Here is a 15,673-nt window from a genome sequence, read left to right as displayed (position 1 = left end):
TACAGAGTGATTGGGGGCTATTTTAGGTAGACAGATAAGGAAGAGCCTCTCTAGAGAGCTGACATTAGAACAGTGACCTGACTGAAGGCGCGACGGGAAAGAGTGCTGACATTACAGGCAGCAGGATGACTGCCAAGACAGACAGAAATGCATTTCATGTGTGTTTGAGGAACAAACAGCAAGGTGACCAGCATAGTCAGAGTGAAGAATGAGGGAAAGAGTGGAGATGAGGCCCTTCAGGCAGTACCATAGCTCACAGGGCCTTTTGGCTTGTAGGCTGTAGGAAGAAGTTAAGGTTTTACTCCAGTTTGATGGGAAGCTCTTGGGGAGATCTTGAGCAGGGGAGTGCCATGCTCTAAATGAAGAGGTTATGCTGGCTGCTTTGGGGACAGTAAGCTATAGTTGGGAGGCAGAGTGGAGGCAGTGAAGAGGGTTAAGAAGCAACTAGGGTAATACAGGTGAGCAGTGATAGACTGTGGGTCACCATCAAACCATGCAGACCACCAGTGAAGGTAGACGTAAGAGGCATTGCACACAGATTGGAGCAGGGGAACTGAAATGCAGGTATTTGGCCCCAACACCTAGGCAAATGGCAATGTATGCAGAGCTTTAGTTTGTCAGCGTGAAGACACAAGAGACAAGTGCCTGTTGGCAAGAGGAGCCTTGGGAGAGTCATGTCAGCAGGGGCAGGCAGTGTAGCTGAAGGAGAGATGGAAGATGAGGAGCTGGTATGAGGGTATGGTGCTGTGAGCATCAGTGAGAGGACACAGTTGGAGAGGAGTGGGGAGTGGGATGGGGACAAAGGAAACACAATTTGGAGGAAATTTCTGGTAGAGAGGAAGAAAATCTTCAGAAAGAGGTGATTGTGGGAACAGTGTGCTGCAAAAGTGAGATGGGATCAACTGCACTGAGGGAAGAGTTGGCATCAGTGGGAATAAAGAATTCTCAAACTCACCCAGAAGGGCACGTGGCATGGATGAGTGTCAGCAGGTCAGCAGCTTAGCAGGAAAGGGGACAGGAAGTAGAGGGCTTGCCATGTTGTTTCAGAGGTCTCTGATTCCTACGCAGTTGAACCCTGGGAGGGAGGTTCACTCTTGAAATACTTGAGAGTGCAGAGTTTGGGAGAAAGGGAGTGGAATCTGTAAAATTTCATGTTCAATAGCCATTTGTTTTTGAAAACATACTTGAGTTTGGCAGTGTTCAGATCAGTATCAGATCTGGCAGTGTTCTGCAATCTGATACCCTTCAGACAAGAAATAAACTTGCTTATTTATATAAAGTTTTTTCCTTTTGTTTCGATGTAAACAGTTCAAGTAGCTCACAGACATACTGTTCTGCAGAGCACCCTCTGAGGTAACAACACCTCACAGTTCACCTTTAATGTTTACTCAGCTATTCACTTTGCTCAATTCTTTGTAGGACAGATGTTTGATAGATGTAAAGTAATTCAGGGGATTGTCTCACCAACTGCCTGGCAGGTGTAGAGGAATCCCAGGGATACAGAGACTGGCAGCTGTTTCCACCTTAAAACCAACAGAATTGTCTAATTTGCAGGTGATGTAAGACAGAATAAATTTTTTGAAGTGATCATGAAGATGTGCAAGATAGGGGCTGTGAGAAGGACCATCCTTTATACACATGTGTTTCTTACCAAGTGAGCAACTGAATATGGGGAATGTTTTACAACCCCACAGACCTGCTCCTGCCATGCTGCTCTACACAGCAGCTGCTGGGAGGCTCTCTTGATCAGCAGTTTTTAAAGCTAGTGCCACAGAAGGGTGAGTTTTTGTGAGAAGAAGGTTAACATTTGCTCACTATTACATGGGTTTTACATATTCAAGCTTGACGTACTTATAAAATTCCCATCTACCTACCAGCTCCGTGTGAGACATTACATATGTAGGCACTTAAGGATTTATTGAATGACTTTATTCCACACTGGGCCTGCATGTCTGCTGTCTTTTATGAGTGTGAAGGTGACAGCACTGCCTGTCTTCATGATGCCCTTGACTGAGATATACGGTCATTCTTGTGACCAAAATTGGGCTGTGAATTTCTATGAGCAGAGTAGGTAGCAGAAGTATCTGACCTACAATTGTGATATGGCCACTTGTTTGGTCTGATCAAGCAAATCTCTGTAGAACATAAGCACTTACTTTCTGGTCAAAACCAGAAGAAATCTGTCATTCATAAGAATTCTTGGCACTTAAACTGAGCTAAATCAAAGGCCAGTGCTCTGTTTTGCAGATTTACATAGAAAGACTTGTAAGTTATGCTGATATCGACATTTGTCCAACTAACTGGAAGAGGATTGTCTTGGGAGCCATTCTTCTTGCCTCCAAGGTTTGGAGTGATATGGCTGTGTGGAATGAGGACTACTGCAAGCTCTTTAAGAACATTACAGTTGAAGAAATGTGAGTTTGTATGGTTTTTGTGAACTTTGTAACCATTTTTCAGTACTTTATGTGGTCCCATAAACTTAAATACTTTAAGAAATACTTTTAAAGCTTACGTTGTGCAGATAATGAAAATGGGCCTAAACACCACATATTTTTCCATCCAGCTTTAGAACAATAGTTCATATTTTTCATTGTTTGCTGGTAGGTCTTGGTAAATTGATGTTTTAATAATCTGCTCATAAATTGAAAAGTATTTTTCTGGTGAATATTTTTGGCATTATCTTACCAGTGTACTACCAGAACATAATAGTACAGTAAATATCTTATGGCTTTTTCAAAGCTGTGTGCAAGTTCCAGTCTCTTTGTAAGGAGCACATGTGTGGCCTTGGAAATAATTATTTGGCCAGTGACAGGTCTAAGGCCTCTGGACTGTGAAAACTGTGTAGTTTCACCCTGAGTTACACATTGTGAATTTGCCTTTGCTGGTGTTCCCCCTGCTTTTATCTGAAGTTCTGTTTTATAGAAACCTCGAGATACAGAATAGCCACAGATCCCTGTGTCCCTGTCCCATCCCAGTAGGAGTGTTGCATGTGTTTAGAAATTGGGCTGATGAGTTAGAAGTTCCAGTGTTCCCCTCAGGCAGTCTGAGAAATATTGCTGGAGCATCACCCAGTGCTCACCACACTCAGGAGGTTCCTGGGGCACTCATAAAACCACAGCAGCACTTTGGGGGCCCCGAGTTACCTGTGAGAGTGCAATAAATCTTGCTGAGTCATGGGGTTGCTCACAGATGGCACCAACATGATGCTGAAACAGAAACTTCATGGGGTCTTTCTTCCAGTCTGGCCTCATGACTGTTGTAAAGGGAAGGGCCTTGGAGCTGGTAGGCAGAGTGAGCCAGGGAGGCATTTCCAGCAGAGGCTGTCACAGTGTCCACTAGACAGCGAGAATGGCTTTGTGGGTGACATTTAGGGAAATCTGAAGGAATACCTCTTGATGACATTGAGCACCATATGAAGATCCAAGATCATGACAGGCAGTGGCAAGAGGTTTTGGGTTTTTTTTTTTTTTTTTTTACATTTTCCTGTTACTCCAGTTAAGACTGTCTTTCAGAATGTATGCATTCACAGAGGTGGAGCCTGATGGCTGAATAGCAGTCTCTGCCAATTGTGCTCCCCGCAGGAATAGCAAATTTAGCAACTGTCTAAATAAAAAAAGCACCTGCATAGGAACTAAAAATCAGGTAAGCATTCATAGTACCTGGTTTTAACTTCATATCACTGAAAGAAGCACTGAATAGTGTAGAAAAGACAGTCTTGAATTGCTGATGCCACTCCTCCCCCATGTCCTAGCAGTGGACCTGTGGTGAGAAGAGGGGCTACATGCTTGGGGGATGGAGAGCACAGCAACTGTGGGACTTTGCACTAAATTCAGTGCTGCCTTGTCATAGCAGAAAGCAAAACAAGGCTGTGCTCATCCAATGCCCACCCACGGAGGAAGCATTTAGACTAGCCCTAGCCAGAGAGGAATTTTTCATGCCACTGGTTGGAACTTGAGTTGTGAAAGGCTACTGGCTACTGTGGGATAAAATACTCTGGGGTCCTTAATAAACCTGAAAGTCTGTCTAGGCCACAAGGACTGCTGTGCTGCCCTTGAAGCCAGTGTATTTAGGGGCATGTGACCTACAGAGACAGCAACTGGGGCAGCTAGGGAGTGCTTGCCCACCCCGCCTCCAACCCTAGACAGTGCAGCTCACAGGTCTGACAGAGACCTCTTTCTTCTGCTTGAGGGGAGGAAAGAGGACTTTGTTTTGCAACTTGGATACTAGCTCAGCCACAGTAGGAGAGGGCACTGGTCAGAGTCATGAGACCCCCATTTCAGGTCCCAGCTTCAGGATAGCATATCTAGACAAACCTTGGGCCAGAAGGGAACTTGATGCCTTAAAGGGACTCAGTAATGGCAGGATTCATCACTTTCTGATGAAAGAGCCCTTGGGCCCTGAAGAATCATCAGTGGTGACCAGGTAGTACATGCCATGGGCCTCGAGTGAGACTCAGAGATGTGCTGGCTGCAGGTGTGGCCCAGCACATTCCCAGCTGTGGTGGCTGTGAGGAGAGACTCTCTCTGCTTGAGAAAAGCTGAGGGAAGAGTTAAGAGGATTTTTCTTGAGCTTAGATACCAGCTCAGCTACAGTGGAGAAGAGCACCAGGTGGACTGTTGGAGTCCCCAATTCAGGCCTTGGCTCTTGGATGGCATATCTGGACCTACCCTGGTCCAGAGGGGAGCCCACTGCCCTGAAGAGTGAGTTTCAGGCCAGGCAGCATTCACCACAGGCTGACTGAGAGCACTTGAGCATTGAGTGAGAATCAGTGGTGACCTGACAGTAATCCCCATGGGACTGTGTTGACGATATATGTGGGGACAGACTACTCTGCCTGGGGAAAGGGGAGGGAAGAGTGGGAATGGATTTGCCTGGTGGATTCAGTGCCAGCTCAGCCATGGTAGAGCAGAGCACCAGGTAGATGTCTAAGGTTTATGACTCCAGCCCTGGCTCCCAGACAGCACCTCTGACCCCATCCAGGGACCAGGAGAACTTACTGCACTTAAGGGAAGGACAGAAGCCTGGCTGGCTTCACTACCTGCTAATTGTAGAGCCCCTGGGCCTTGAGTGAAATAGGTGGCAGCAGGTAGGTGTTACAGTGGGCCTTGGCCCGCCACAGTGCTGTGCCAGCTTCAGACCTAGTGCTGTCACAGAGGTGGTGGCCACAGGGGTGCTTGCATTGCTCCTCTCTGAGCCCCAGGCAGCCTAGCACAGAGAGAGAGACTTCATTTGTGGGAAAGTAAGAGAAGAAGTGAGTCCCTGTCTGCTAACCCAGAGAATTCCTTCAGGTCTGATCTCAGACCACCAATGTGGTACCTCCACAAGTCTGCAAAAAAAAAAAAAAAAAATGACATTCTTTACAGAAATAGAAATAAAAAATGAATTCTAAAATTTATATTTAACTACAAAAGACTCAGAATATCCGAAGCTATCCTGAGCAAAAAACAAACAAAACTGGAGGAATCACATTATCTGATTTCAAATTATACTCTATAGCTATAGTAACCAGAACAGCATGACACTGGCATAAAAACAGACACATAAACCAATGGAACAGAATAGAAAACCCAGAAACCAGTTTATACATCTACAGTGAACTCATTGTCAGTGAAGGTGCCAAGCACATATGATAGGGAAATGACAGTCTTGTCAATAAGTGGTGCTGGGAAAACTGGATATTCATATGCAGAGGAATGAAACTAGACCTCTATTTCTCACCTTATACAAAAATCAAATCAAAATGGATTAAAGATTTAAATCTCAGTTGGGTGCGGTGGCTCACGGCTGTAATCCCAGCACTTTGGTAGGCCGAGATAGAAGAATTGCTTGAGCCCGGTAGTTCAATACCAGCCTGGGCAAACCAGTGAGATTCTGTCTCTATTTTTTAAAACATTAAAAATTAAAAAAATTTAAATCTAAGACCTGAAATATGAAGCAAAACATTGGGAAAACTCTCTGGGATACTGGACTCAGCAAATATTTCTTGAATATTTCATAAGCACAGGCAGCCAAAGCAAAAATGGGCAAATTAGGTCACATCAAGTTAAAAAGCTTCTGCACAGCAAAGGAAACAATCAACTAAGTGAAGAGACAACACACAGAATGGGGGAAGATATTTGAAAACTATCTGACAAGGGATTAATTACCAGAATATTTAAGAAGCTCAAAGAACTCCATAGAAAAAAATCTAATCTGATTTTTAAAATGGGCAAAATATCTGAATAGGCATTTCTCAAAAGAGGACACATTAGCCAGGCATGATGACACGTGCCTGTGGTTTCAGGTGTTGGGGAAGCTTAGGTGCAAAAATTACCTGAGCCTGGGAGGTTGAGGCTGCAGTGAGCTGTGATTGTGCCACTGCACTCCAACCTGAGTGACAAAGTGAGACCCTGTTTCAAAACTAAGAAAGGCATACAAATAGCAGATAGGTATATGAAAAGATACTCAACATCAATATAATTGATCTTCAGAGAAATGCAAATCAAAATTACAATGAGAGATCATCTCACCCCACTTAAAATGGCTTTTATTCTAAAGATAGCCAATAACAAATGCTGGTGAGGATACAGAGAAAAGGTAACACTCATACATGGTTAGTGGGAATGTAATTTAAGTACTGCCACCATGGAGAAACGTTTGGAGTTCCTCAAAACTAAAAATAGAGTTACCGTATGATCCAGCAATCCTACTTCTGGGTATATACCCAAAAGAAAGGAAATCAGTATATCAGAGAGATACCCGCACTCTCATGTATACTGCAGCACTATTCACAACAGCCAAGATTTGGAAGCATTCCGAGTGTCTATCAACAGATAAGTGGCTAAAGAAAATATGGTACATATACACAATGAAGTACTATTCAACCGTAAAAGAGAATGAGATCTTATTATTTGCAAGAACATGGATGGAAAGGTTGAATGAAATAAGCCAGGCACGGAAAAACAAACTTCACATGTTCTCACTTATTTGTGGGAAGTAAAAATTAAGACAGTTTTTTTGTTTGTTTGTTTGTTTTTTGAGATGGAGTCTTGCTCTGTCACCCAGGCTGGAGTGCAGTGGTGCTATGTCGGCTCACTGCAACCTCCACCTCCTGGGGTCAAGCGATTCCTCTACCTCTGCCTCCCGAGTAGCTGGGATTACAGGCTCATGCCACCATGCCTGGATAATTTTTGTATTTTTAGTAGTGATGGGGTCTCACCATGCTGGCCAGGCTGGTCTCGAACACCCGCCTCGGCCTCCCAAAGTGCTGGGATTACAGGTGTGAGCCACTGCGCCTGGCCTCAAACAATTTACCTCATGAAGATATAGAGTAGGAGAACTGTTAGCCAGGGCTGGTAAAAGTAGTATGGGGGATGAGGAGTAAGGGGTAATGGTTAATAGGTACACACATATAGTTAGAAAGAATAAACAAGATCTAGTATTTGATAGCACAACAGGGTGACAACACTCAAGAATTATTTAATTGTACATTTTATAGTAACTAAAAGAGTGTAATTGAATTATTTGTAAAACAAAGGTATGTTTGAGGCATGATGGATACTTCATTTACCCTGATGTGATTATTACACGTCATAGTCATCAAAATATTTTATATACCATATAAATATATACACTTATAATATACCCCAAAAACATTTTTAAAGACTTTCATTCAGAATTACTACACTGTATATTTACCAGTGAATTGAGGATTCTTGTGACTAAGAAGAGACTCACTAGTGTTGGTCAGTTGGTTTTGAAATGGCTGCTAAATTACTGCTTTGCTAATAGTAGAAACTGAGTTGTCACGGTGATATTGCTAGTAGCCATTTTAGCAAAGGATGTAACAGAAAATGAATTTGAAACAAATAGAAGTACTTTGAAAGTTGCAGAAGCTAAAGTGCTCTTAATCACTACTGTCATCAATCTGTAAACTGGTTTCTTGAAGGCAGCAAAATTTGTAATTATGAACACTTAGCTCCACTATAATGGCAGCTAAATTGTTCTCAAAACCTGCAGCTAATCCGGTGGGGCTCTAGTTCTAGTTACAAGGTCAGAGAATATCCAGAGAAATGTGCAGGTTTCCACAGATGTGAGCTCCAGAAGCAGTGGTGGCAGAAGCCAGCTCCAGTTCTACACAATGCTGTTTGTGAATGCAGAAGCACCTTGATCTATGCTCTGAACAGGAGCTATGTTCACGATTTTTAGAAAATGTAAAACATTGCAACAAAGTGTGTAATGTACATTTATCTTGTCCCTCTACTGTTGATTGTAAAGATCTCTTTTGGACTGTAAATTGAACCATTTAAAAATTAGTGTTTATCAGATTTTTCTTAAAACTTTTCAACATCTGTTTGTCTTCTTAGAATATATTTTCCTTCAGAAACATCACTAATTATCAGGGAAATGCAAATGAAAACCACAGTGTGATACCACCTTACTCCTGCAAGAATGGCCATAATTTAAAAATTGAAAAATCGTACATGTTGGTATGGATTTGGTGAAAAGGGAACACTTACACTGCTGATAGGAATGTAAACTAGTACAACCACTATGGAAAACAGTATTGCCATTCAATCCAGCAATCTCACACTAGGTATCTACCCAAAGCGAAAGAAGTCATATGAAAAAGACACATGCACATGCATGTTGATAGCAGCACAATTTGCAATTGCAAAAATATGGAATGCCCATCAATGAATGGACAGATAAAGAAAGTGTGGAATATATACACCATGGAATACTGCTGAGCCATAAAACAGAATGAAATAATGGCCTTTGCAACAACTTAGTTGGAGCTAGATGCCATTATTCTAAGTGAAGTAACTCAAGAATGGAAAACCAAATATCATACGTTCTCACTTATAGGTGAGAGCTAAGCTATGAGGATTTTATATGTGTATATATATATGTATATGTACATACATATATATATACACACACACATATATACACACACACACACACACACACACACACACACATACATACATACATATAAGTTAAACTGAGCAGCTCCTATTCAGAAAATTTGCTGCGCCGGTAAAGGGTATGCTATTAGCCATTTAAAAAACAACAAAAAACTAAGAAGATACATATCCTGTAGGCATAATGGTTTTCTTCAATAACTAAGCTTCTATTAATAAACATGTTAATTATATAAAATACTGTATTTTACACATTTAAAATATGTTTGTGGAAAAACATAAGAGATTATGAAGTGCATAGATTCCTATAGTAAATTAACTCCTGATTAGCTGATTATTAAAGCGTTATCTGATTTACATTCCTATAGTCTTATGGTTATATGAATAGGAAACTAATGTTAGAAGTAGTTTCAGTGGGGTTTTCAGTTAAACAAATGAGAAAACCATATATCTGCTTATATCCTAACTGCTTTCCATACCAGAGAACAGCAAGCATTTGTTGACTTAGCCAATGGATAAAACTTTAAAACCAAGAAACCAAATATGTTGTTGAGGTATTAATTGCTTTTATACAGTTAAGTCTTTATGGGGATTACTATGAAAGTGGTAAGATTACTCTAGTTTTATATTTATTTAAACATTTGACAAAGTGCTGGATACAGTGGCTCACGTCTGTAATACCAGCACTTTGGGAGGCCAAGGTGGGAGTATCACTTAATCACAGGAGTTTAACACCAGCCTGGGCAACAAGTGAGAGCCTGTCTCTACAAAAATAATTTTAAAAAAAGAGCCCAGCTAAGTGGCATGAACCTGTAGTCCCAGCTACTTGAAAGGCTAGGATCATGCCACTGAACTTTAGCCTGAGCGACAGAGCAAGACCCTGTCTCAAAACAAACAAACAAACAAAAATCTTCGGCCGGGACAGCTGAATAATCATTTGGCAGAGGGCTGCTCCCAGCCTGTTCCCCTCTCACTGCATTCAATTCATCCCCACACTCTGTTCTGGCCAGGGGTGACAGGTGCTGAGCACCTTGGGGTTTCATTTCCAACTTAGGAGAAACACTGTGTAAGGCCAGAACCCTACCAAAAGGCTTGTCATAAAATGGGTTTAGTCTAGCCAAGGTGTTTCTCTTTGATCTTTCTACCGTCTGAAATGTAAAGAGTATTCCTGCCCCGTAATAGTGACAGCTAATAAATGGCATCCATCATTTCTGTCATCTGATCACTATTGTGGTGCCTTGGGAGTGACCATGGAGTCTGAGTTGTGCAATGGAACCCTCAAGAATGAGCCCTGAGTCAGCTGCACGAGTGCAGAGAAGGCTGTCCCCTTTCTCCTCATCCCAAACTTGGGGTGCTGGATGCAGAATGGACTGCAAGCAGCTGTGCCCTGTTTGGACATTAGTGTAGGAATCCACCTGCATAGCCTGTATTTGTTTCAAAAAAGAATTTGGAGCTATTCTAGTAGCTCAGTGTGATATTCTTAAATAAACAGAGAAAAATTTTATTAACTGACTTAACAAAAAAACACTGCCTATTAAATTCATTTAATATTGTTTAAGGAGTATCTACAAAATTTTGACCTCAGTGTTTTCTTGCAAAAGAAGTGGAAGTAAGGACAGAGACCCTTTCAAATGAAGAATCACTGAGAAACAAAATATTTATAAGTAGTATAACATTTACTTATGCACATTTTTTAAGATTATGCCATAATCAGTTTGCATCAGGCTCTCCAATTTCGAAACACGGAGAGGATTTCCCTGTAGGGGAAATTTTCATATAAATGTTGAAGAAATTGTTAAAACTGAAAACTTTTCTGAATTTGGTAATCTACTAGGGTTCCAATCCAGTGTGCTTTCTTATATTTGTAAGGTCTGTCTACAGTGTGTGTTATCATGGGTCTTGGAGCAAATATCATGTACATGAAGGCATTTCCACATTCTGTACATTCACAGGTTTTATTTCAGAAATGAGTTCTGTTCTTCATGTGGAACTGGAACAACTGAAGGCCTTACCATGGATGTTTGTATTTACAAGGGTTTTCTCCATTGAATCCTTTCATGTTTTCAAAGAAATGAAAAAGCTGAAGGCTTTACCATGTTTCTTAAGATTAAGTCGTTTTTCTCCATATTAAATTCAAATATGTCTTTGAAAGCACGTGAGATAATCGCGTTATTAACCCAGTTTTTACATTCATGTTGTTTTTTGTTTTTCTAAGTTTTCAAAGAGAACTGGGAAAGTTGCATGCTTTCTTGTATTTCTTAGATCAATAGGGTTCTGTACAGTGTGAGTTCTTTCATGTGTTCTAATAAACTAGAGCACATGATGACTTTACCACATTTCTTACACGAGAATAATGTTTTTGAACTAACATTGTCCTGTGTTGGTTTTGTTGTGTTTCTCCTTCCCCAGGAATGAGTTGGAAAGGCAATTCTTGAAGCTAATTAATTATAATAACAGCATTACTAACAGTGTTTATAGCAGATTCTACTTCGATCTTCGCACCTTGGCACACAACAACGGCCTGTATTCACCAGTTTATCTTCTTGACAGAGAAAGAGCTTGGAAGCTGGAGGTAAGGCTACGAAGTTACTAAGGTGGGTTTTCAGTCAAACACCAATGCCAACATCTGTGACTAGGTCATATTAAGTAGTGATTAGAAAAATGGAAAGCTTCAAAATTAACTAACATACTGAAGAGCTTATTACCTTTTTGGCATTCTGTTTCCTGTATCTTTTATGGTTTTTACAAAGATCCACATTATTTGAAATTATAGATATTATCTTCTCTTTTGTGAGCATAATTCAGAATATTTTAGTCAAATTTAATTCATTTGTAATCTTTCCCTTTTGAACTTTTACCCTTTCAAATCATCATATATAAATGATTTCTTTTATTGTATTCCAAGCAATGTCTACATACATAATGCACTTACCACTCTTGACTATTTTTTATTACTCAGTTTGCAAATTTATGTCATTTCCTACTGTATATACCACAGTGCAGTCAGTCCCATGGGTTTGTTAGACAAAGCATTAGTGCCTAAGCCAAGAGACCTGCACTTAGACTGTATAAGGTGTGCGCGTCTCAAATACTGGATGCAGGAAATACATGGGATTTTACTGGAAATGATAACTTTTATGAGACAAAGTAATATTTATGGTTTGTGACTTTTGGTAAGTACACAGCAGAGTTACAGCTGACAAGGATGAACATTTAAAATAGGCATGTTTTGTGGTACCTTGGAAGTATTTTAAAATAATACATTTTCTATCATAATTAATGTACAAGTGAAGTAGTGCCTTTTGATGCTTGAGTCATTAGACTTCTTTGATGTTTCAATACAATCCAGCACATGCCTGCATCGTTAAAATTTGCTTAAAGTATATAATAACTACTGTAGATTGGGTAGAGTTTAAGTAGATTAATAAACTAACTTTTTGCAAAAGTGTACATTCATTATGTTTAAGGAACAAGTGCACAGGTAACATGATACTGCTCTTAGAAGCCTGTCACAATACTGTGACATCTTTGGGAGCCCAATTTTTAAGTAACTTAATAAAACAAGTTCCCCTTTGCTCCAGCAATCTAATTCTAGCCCTGAGATTACCTTAATGAGTTGACAAAACTTGGCAGTGTAAACCTCAGCCAAAGTAGCTATAACTGGGCCGGGTGCAGTGGCTCATTCGTATAATTCCAGCACTTTGGGAGGCCGAGGTGGGTGGATCACAAGGTCAGGAGTTCAAGATCAGCCTGGCCAAGATGGTGAAACCCCGTCACTACTAAAAATATGAAAATTAGCTGGGCATGCTAGCAGGCGCCTGTAATCCCAGCTACTCAGGAGGCTGAGGCAGAGAATTGCTTGAACCTGGGAGGCAGAGGTTGCAGTGAGCCGAGATTGTGCCATTGCACTCCAGCCTGGGACTCCTTCTCAAAAAAAAAAAAAACCAAAAAAAACAAAAAGTAGCTGTAACTGAACTATCTAAAGGAGTCTGCATGTGTGGCTTATCATCAGTGGTGATTGTTAAAAGATTGGAAACCTTTTTAAAATTGTACCTCTTTTCTATTTGACATTCTTAGGCTTTTTCAAGGATGGAACAAGACAAAGTTTTCTACAGTGCTGCCAAGAATGGGTCTCTGAGTGCAGATGATTTAATTCATCTTCAGCGTGCTAAGGCCATCCTCTTCTGAAGGAAGAAATGAGGAGTAATTTAACATCTGAACCCCTCATCAAAAAAGACAGGAAAATATCACCTCTCCTGCTAAAGAACTAGAAAAGTTGGTATTTTCTAAAGAAGAAACACCTCAATTCAAGTTAACTCAAGGACAACTAAGATTGCACTTCGTAGTAAAGAATGGGACCTTGTCAGGGCAACAACACACTCTTACACTCTTCTGTCCTGTTTAATGTAAACAGAGTTATAAAAACCACTTCAAAGTGAAGACTCCTGCCCACGTACAGATATTTGCTTAATGTGTGGGCTGATAGCTGTGAACTATGTAAGGCTTTTAAAACAATAGTTTAACTTTTTAGATTTTAAAGATAACTTTTCTGTTTCTTTTATGTTTTTTTCTTTTCCCCAATATTCCTGCATATGCATTTGGAATCAGTGCAGTATCACTGTTAAAACATGGGAGTCTAACAACTCCTAAAGCCACTAGGAGCAGTCCCAGCATTGTCAGGTATGGAAGGGCTCTTTCTTCCTACTTTTACCATGGAAGCTACAGTTACTGGCGATCATCAAGCAAAAGCTGCCAATTAACATTTGCCATTCGTATCCTTTGTAAGCCCTTCTTATTAGCAGTTTAGCATGTTTGGGGGTCATAAAAAGAGAAAGTATTGGTTATTGATTATCTACTTTTATGAAGCTCTATGGTGTATTTCTTATGAACTATAATGGTTCTCATTTGCTGATAAATTTTCTTATTAAGTAAATGTATTCAAAGATGTTTTCATAGTGCCAAGCAGCATGGTGGTCCAGTGGTTATATAAAAATAATAAAATACAAGGTGTCCTGAAAGTTTCAGGGCAGTTTTTAGCTTTAATATAGTGTGCCTGGGCCCTCCAGAGGACTGCAGCATATGTATACATGCTGTAAATCTTTACAAAATATCATTTGAAAGTGTAATTGTATTTCTTCTTTTTATTTTTAATAGATGATGCCTCACTATATTGCCCAAGCTACAGTGCAATGATTAATCAGAGACACAATCATAGCACACCACAGCCTGAAAATCCTGGCCTCAAGCAATGTTCCCATGTCAGCCTACCAAGTAGCTGGGACCATGGGTGTGTACCACTGCCTCTGGCTTTATTTTGCAGAATTTGAATGTTAAACTTTTAACCTTTTGTTTCAGTCAATATCTGCTATCTTCAAGAAGGACTGAAACAATAAATTAAAAGCTTAATACTCAGGAGCTAGGCATGCTTGTAGTCCCAGCTACTCATGAGGCTTAAATGGAGGATCACTTGAGGCCTAGCCTTGGAGGCTGCAGTGCACTGTGATTGTGCCTGTAAATAGCTATTGCACTCCAGCCTTGGCAACATAATGAGACACTGTCACTTTAAAAAATGGCAAAACTAAATAAACGTAAAAGAAATACAACAAGCTTTTCAATGATTTGTAAATGTTTGTAGCATTGTTACTTCTACAAGTATCAAAGCTTAAAATTTCACTAAGACTTTTGGAATTCTTGTGTTTTTATAAAGTGCCCTTTTCTCTTGTAAAGTAGCTCTTTGCAAGGCTTTTATCTGCATTGATCACCTCAGATTATTTTCCCTAGATGTGATAAAGAGGAGGATCCATGTTAATTCATATGTAACAAATTAGAAGGAATTGGACCCTAATAGTAGTAGGTGATGCAATACATTTTATTATCCCACATGTTAGCCTGGATGCAGGTATCATATTTCATGTCCTGCTATTTAAAAAGAACTTCCATAAACCTTAGGAATCCTACCTCCTGAAAAAGTATCATTTATGGAATGCAGAGCTTAGAGATTGGAGTATTGATTGCAGTTTTATTTTCAAAATAAATGCTACAATTGATGTGGTTTTCATTTCTCATGTTTATATTAAAAGAAAACCTAGTAAACTAATTAAAATGTGGCGAGTGTGTTTATAACACTTCTATTCACATAGTGTTGCATCTCTGCCTAACTTAAATGGTTTATATCAGTCTTGATATGTCTTAAAGCATTTTTGTAAGTTGCCTTGACCATACACAAGTTGGTTTAATTCATGCCTGTATTTAAGATGTAATATTTGTTTTCTCTTTTTTTTTTTTTTTTCAGAGGGAGTCTAGCTCTGTCGCCCAGGCTGGAGTGCAGTGGCGCGATCTCGGCTCACTGCAACTTCTGCCTGCCGGGTTCAAGCAATTCTCCTGTCTCAGCCTCCCGAGTGGCTGGGACTACAGGCGCACGCCGCCACGGCCAGCTGATTTTTTGTATTTTAGTAGAGACTGGGTTTCACTGTGTGGCCCAGGCTGGTCTCGAACTCCTGACCTCAGGCAATTCACCCGCCTCGGCCTCCCAAAGTGCTAGGATTACAGGCATGAGCCACTATGCCCGGCCCTCAATTTTAAGATAATTTATTACACTTAAAATAACTCTCTGGCCACAATACTTAGTGGCATAGTGCATTAGATGGCATCTTTGAGTAGTTGATTGTTGTGTCTGAAAGGAAAAACACATTAGAATATGAAATTAGATAAATATATCAAAGAGAAAGGATTTCCAGGAATAGTGTAGAATTAGAATGAGAGTGTTT

The 15,673-nt window shown here is 40.3% G+C and overlaps 1 pseudogene across 1 annotated transcript in view; it reads left to right on the top strand.

The window, feature by feature from the left end:
• Positions 1-15,003, top strand: part of CCNYL2 (cyclin Y like 2 (pseudogene)) — a 64,067-nt pseudogene extending 49,064 nt beyond the window's left edge. Inside the window, exons 7-9 of the transcript NR_103829.1 lie at positions 2,248-2,414; positions 11,316-11,478; positions 12,984-15,003. The product of NR_103829.1 is annotated as a cyclin Y like 2 (pseudogene) (transcript). The remainder of the gene's footprint in view (positions 1-2,247; positions 2,415-11,315; positions 11,479-12,983) is intronic.
• The last annotated feature ends 670 nt before the right edge of the window (positions 15,004-15,673 follow it).

Source organism: Homo sapiens, chromosome 10 (genome assembly GCF_000001405.40).
Source record: "Homo sapiens chromosome 10, GRCh38.p14 Primary Assembly".
In the NCBI taxonomy this organism is placed as follows: Eukaryota; Metazoa; Chordata; class Mammalia; order Primates; family Hominidae; genus Homo; species Homo sapiens.
Note: the sequence above shows the minus strand (reverse complement) of the source record. Positions and strands in the feature narration are given on the sequence as shown.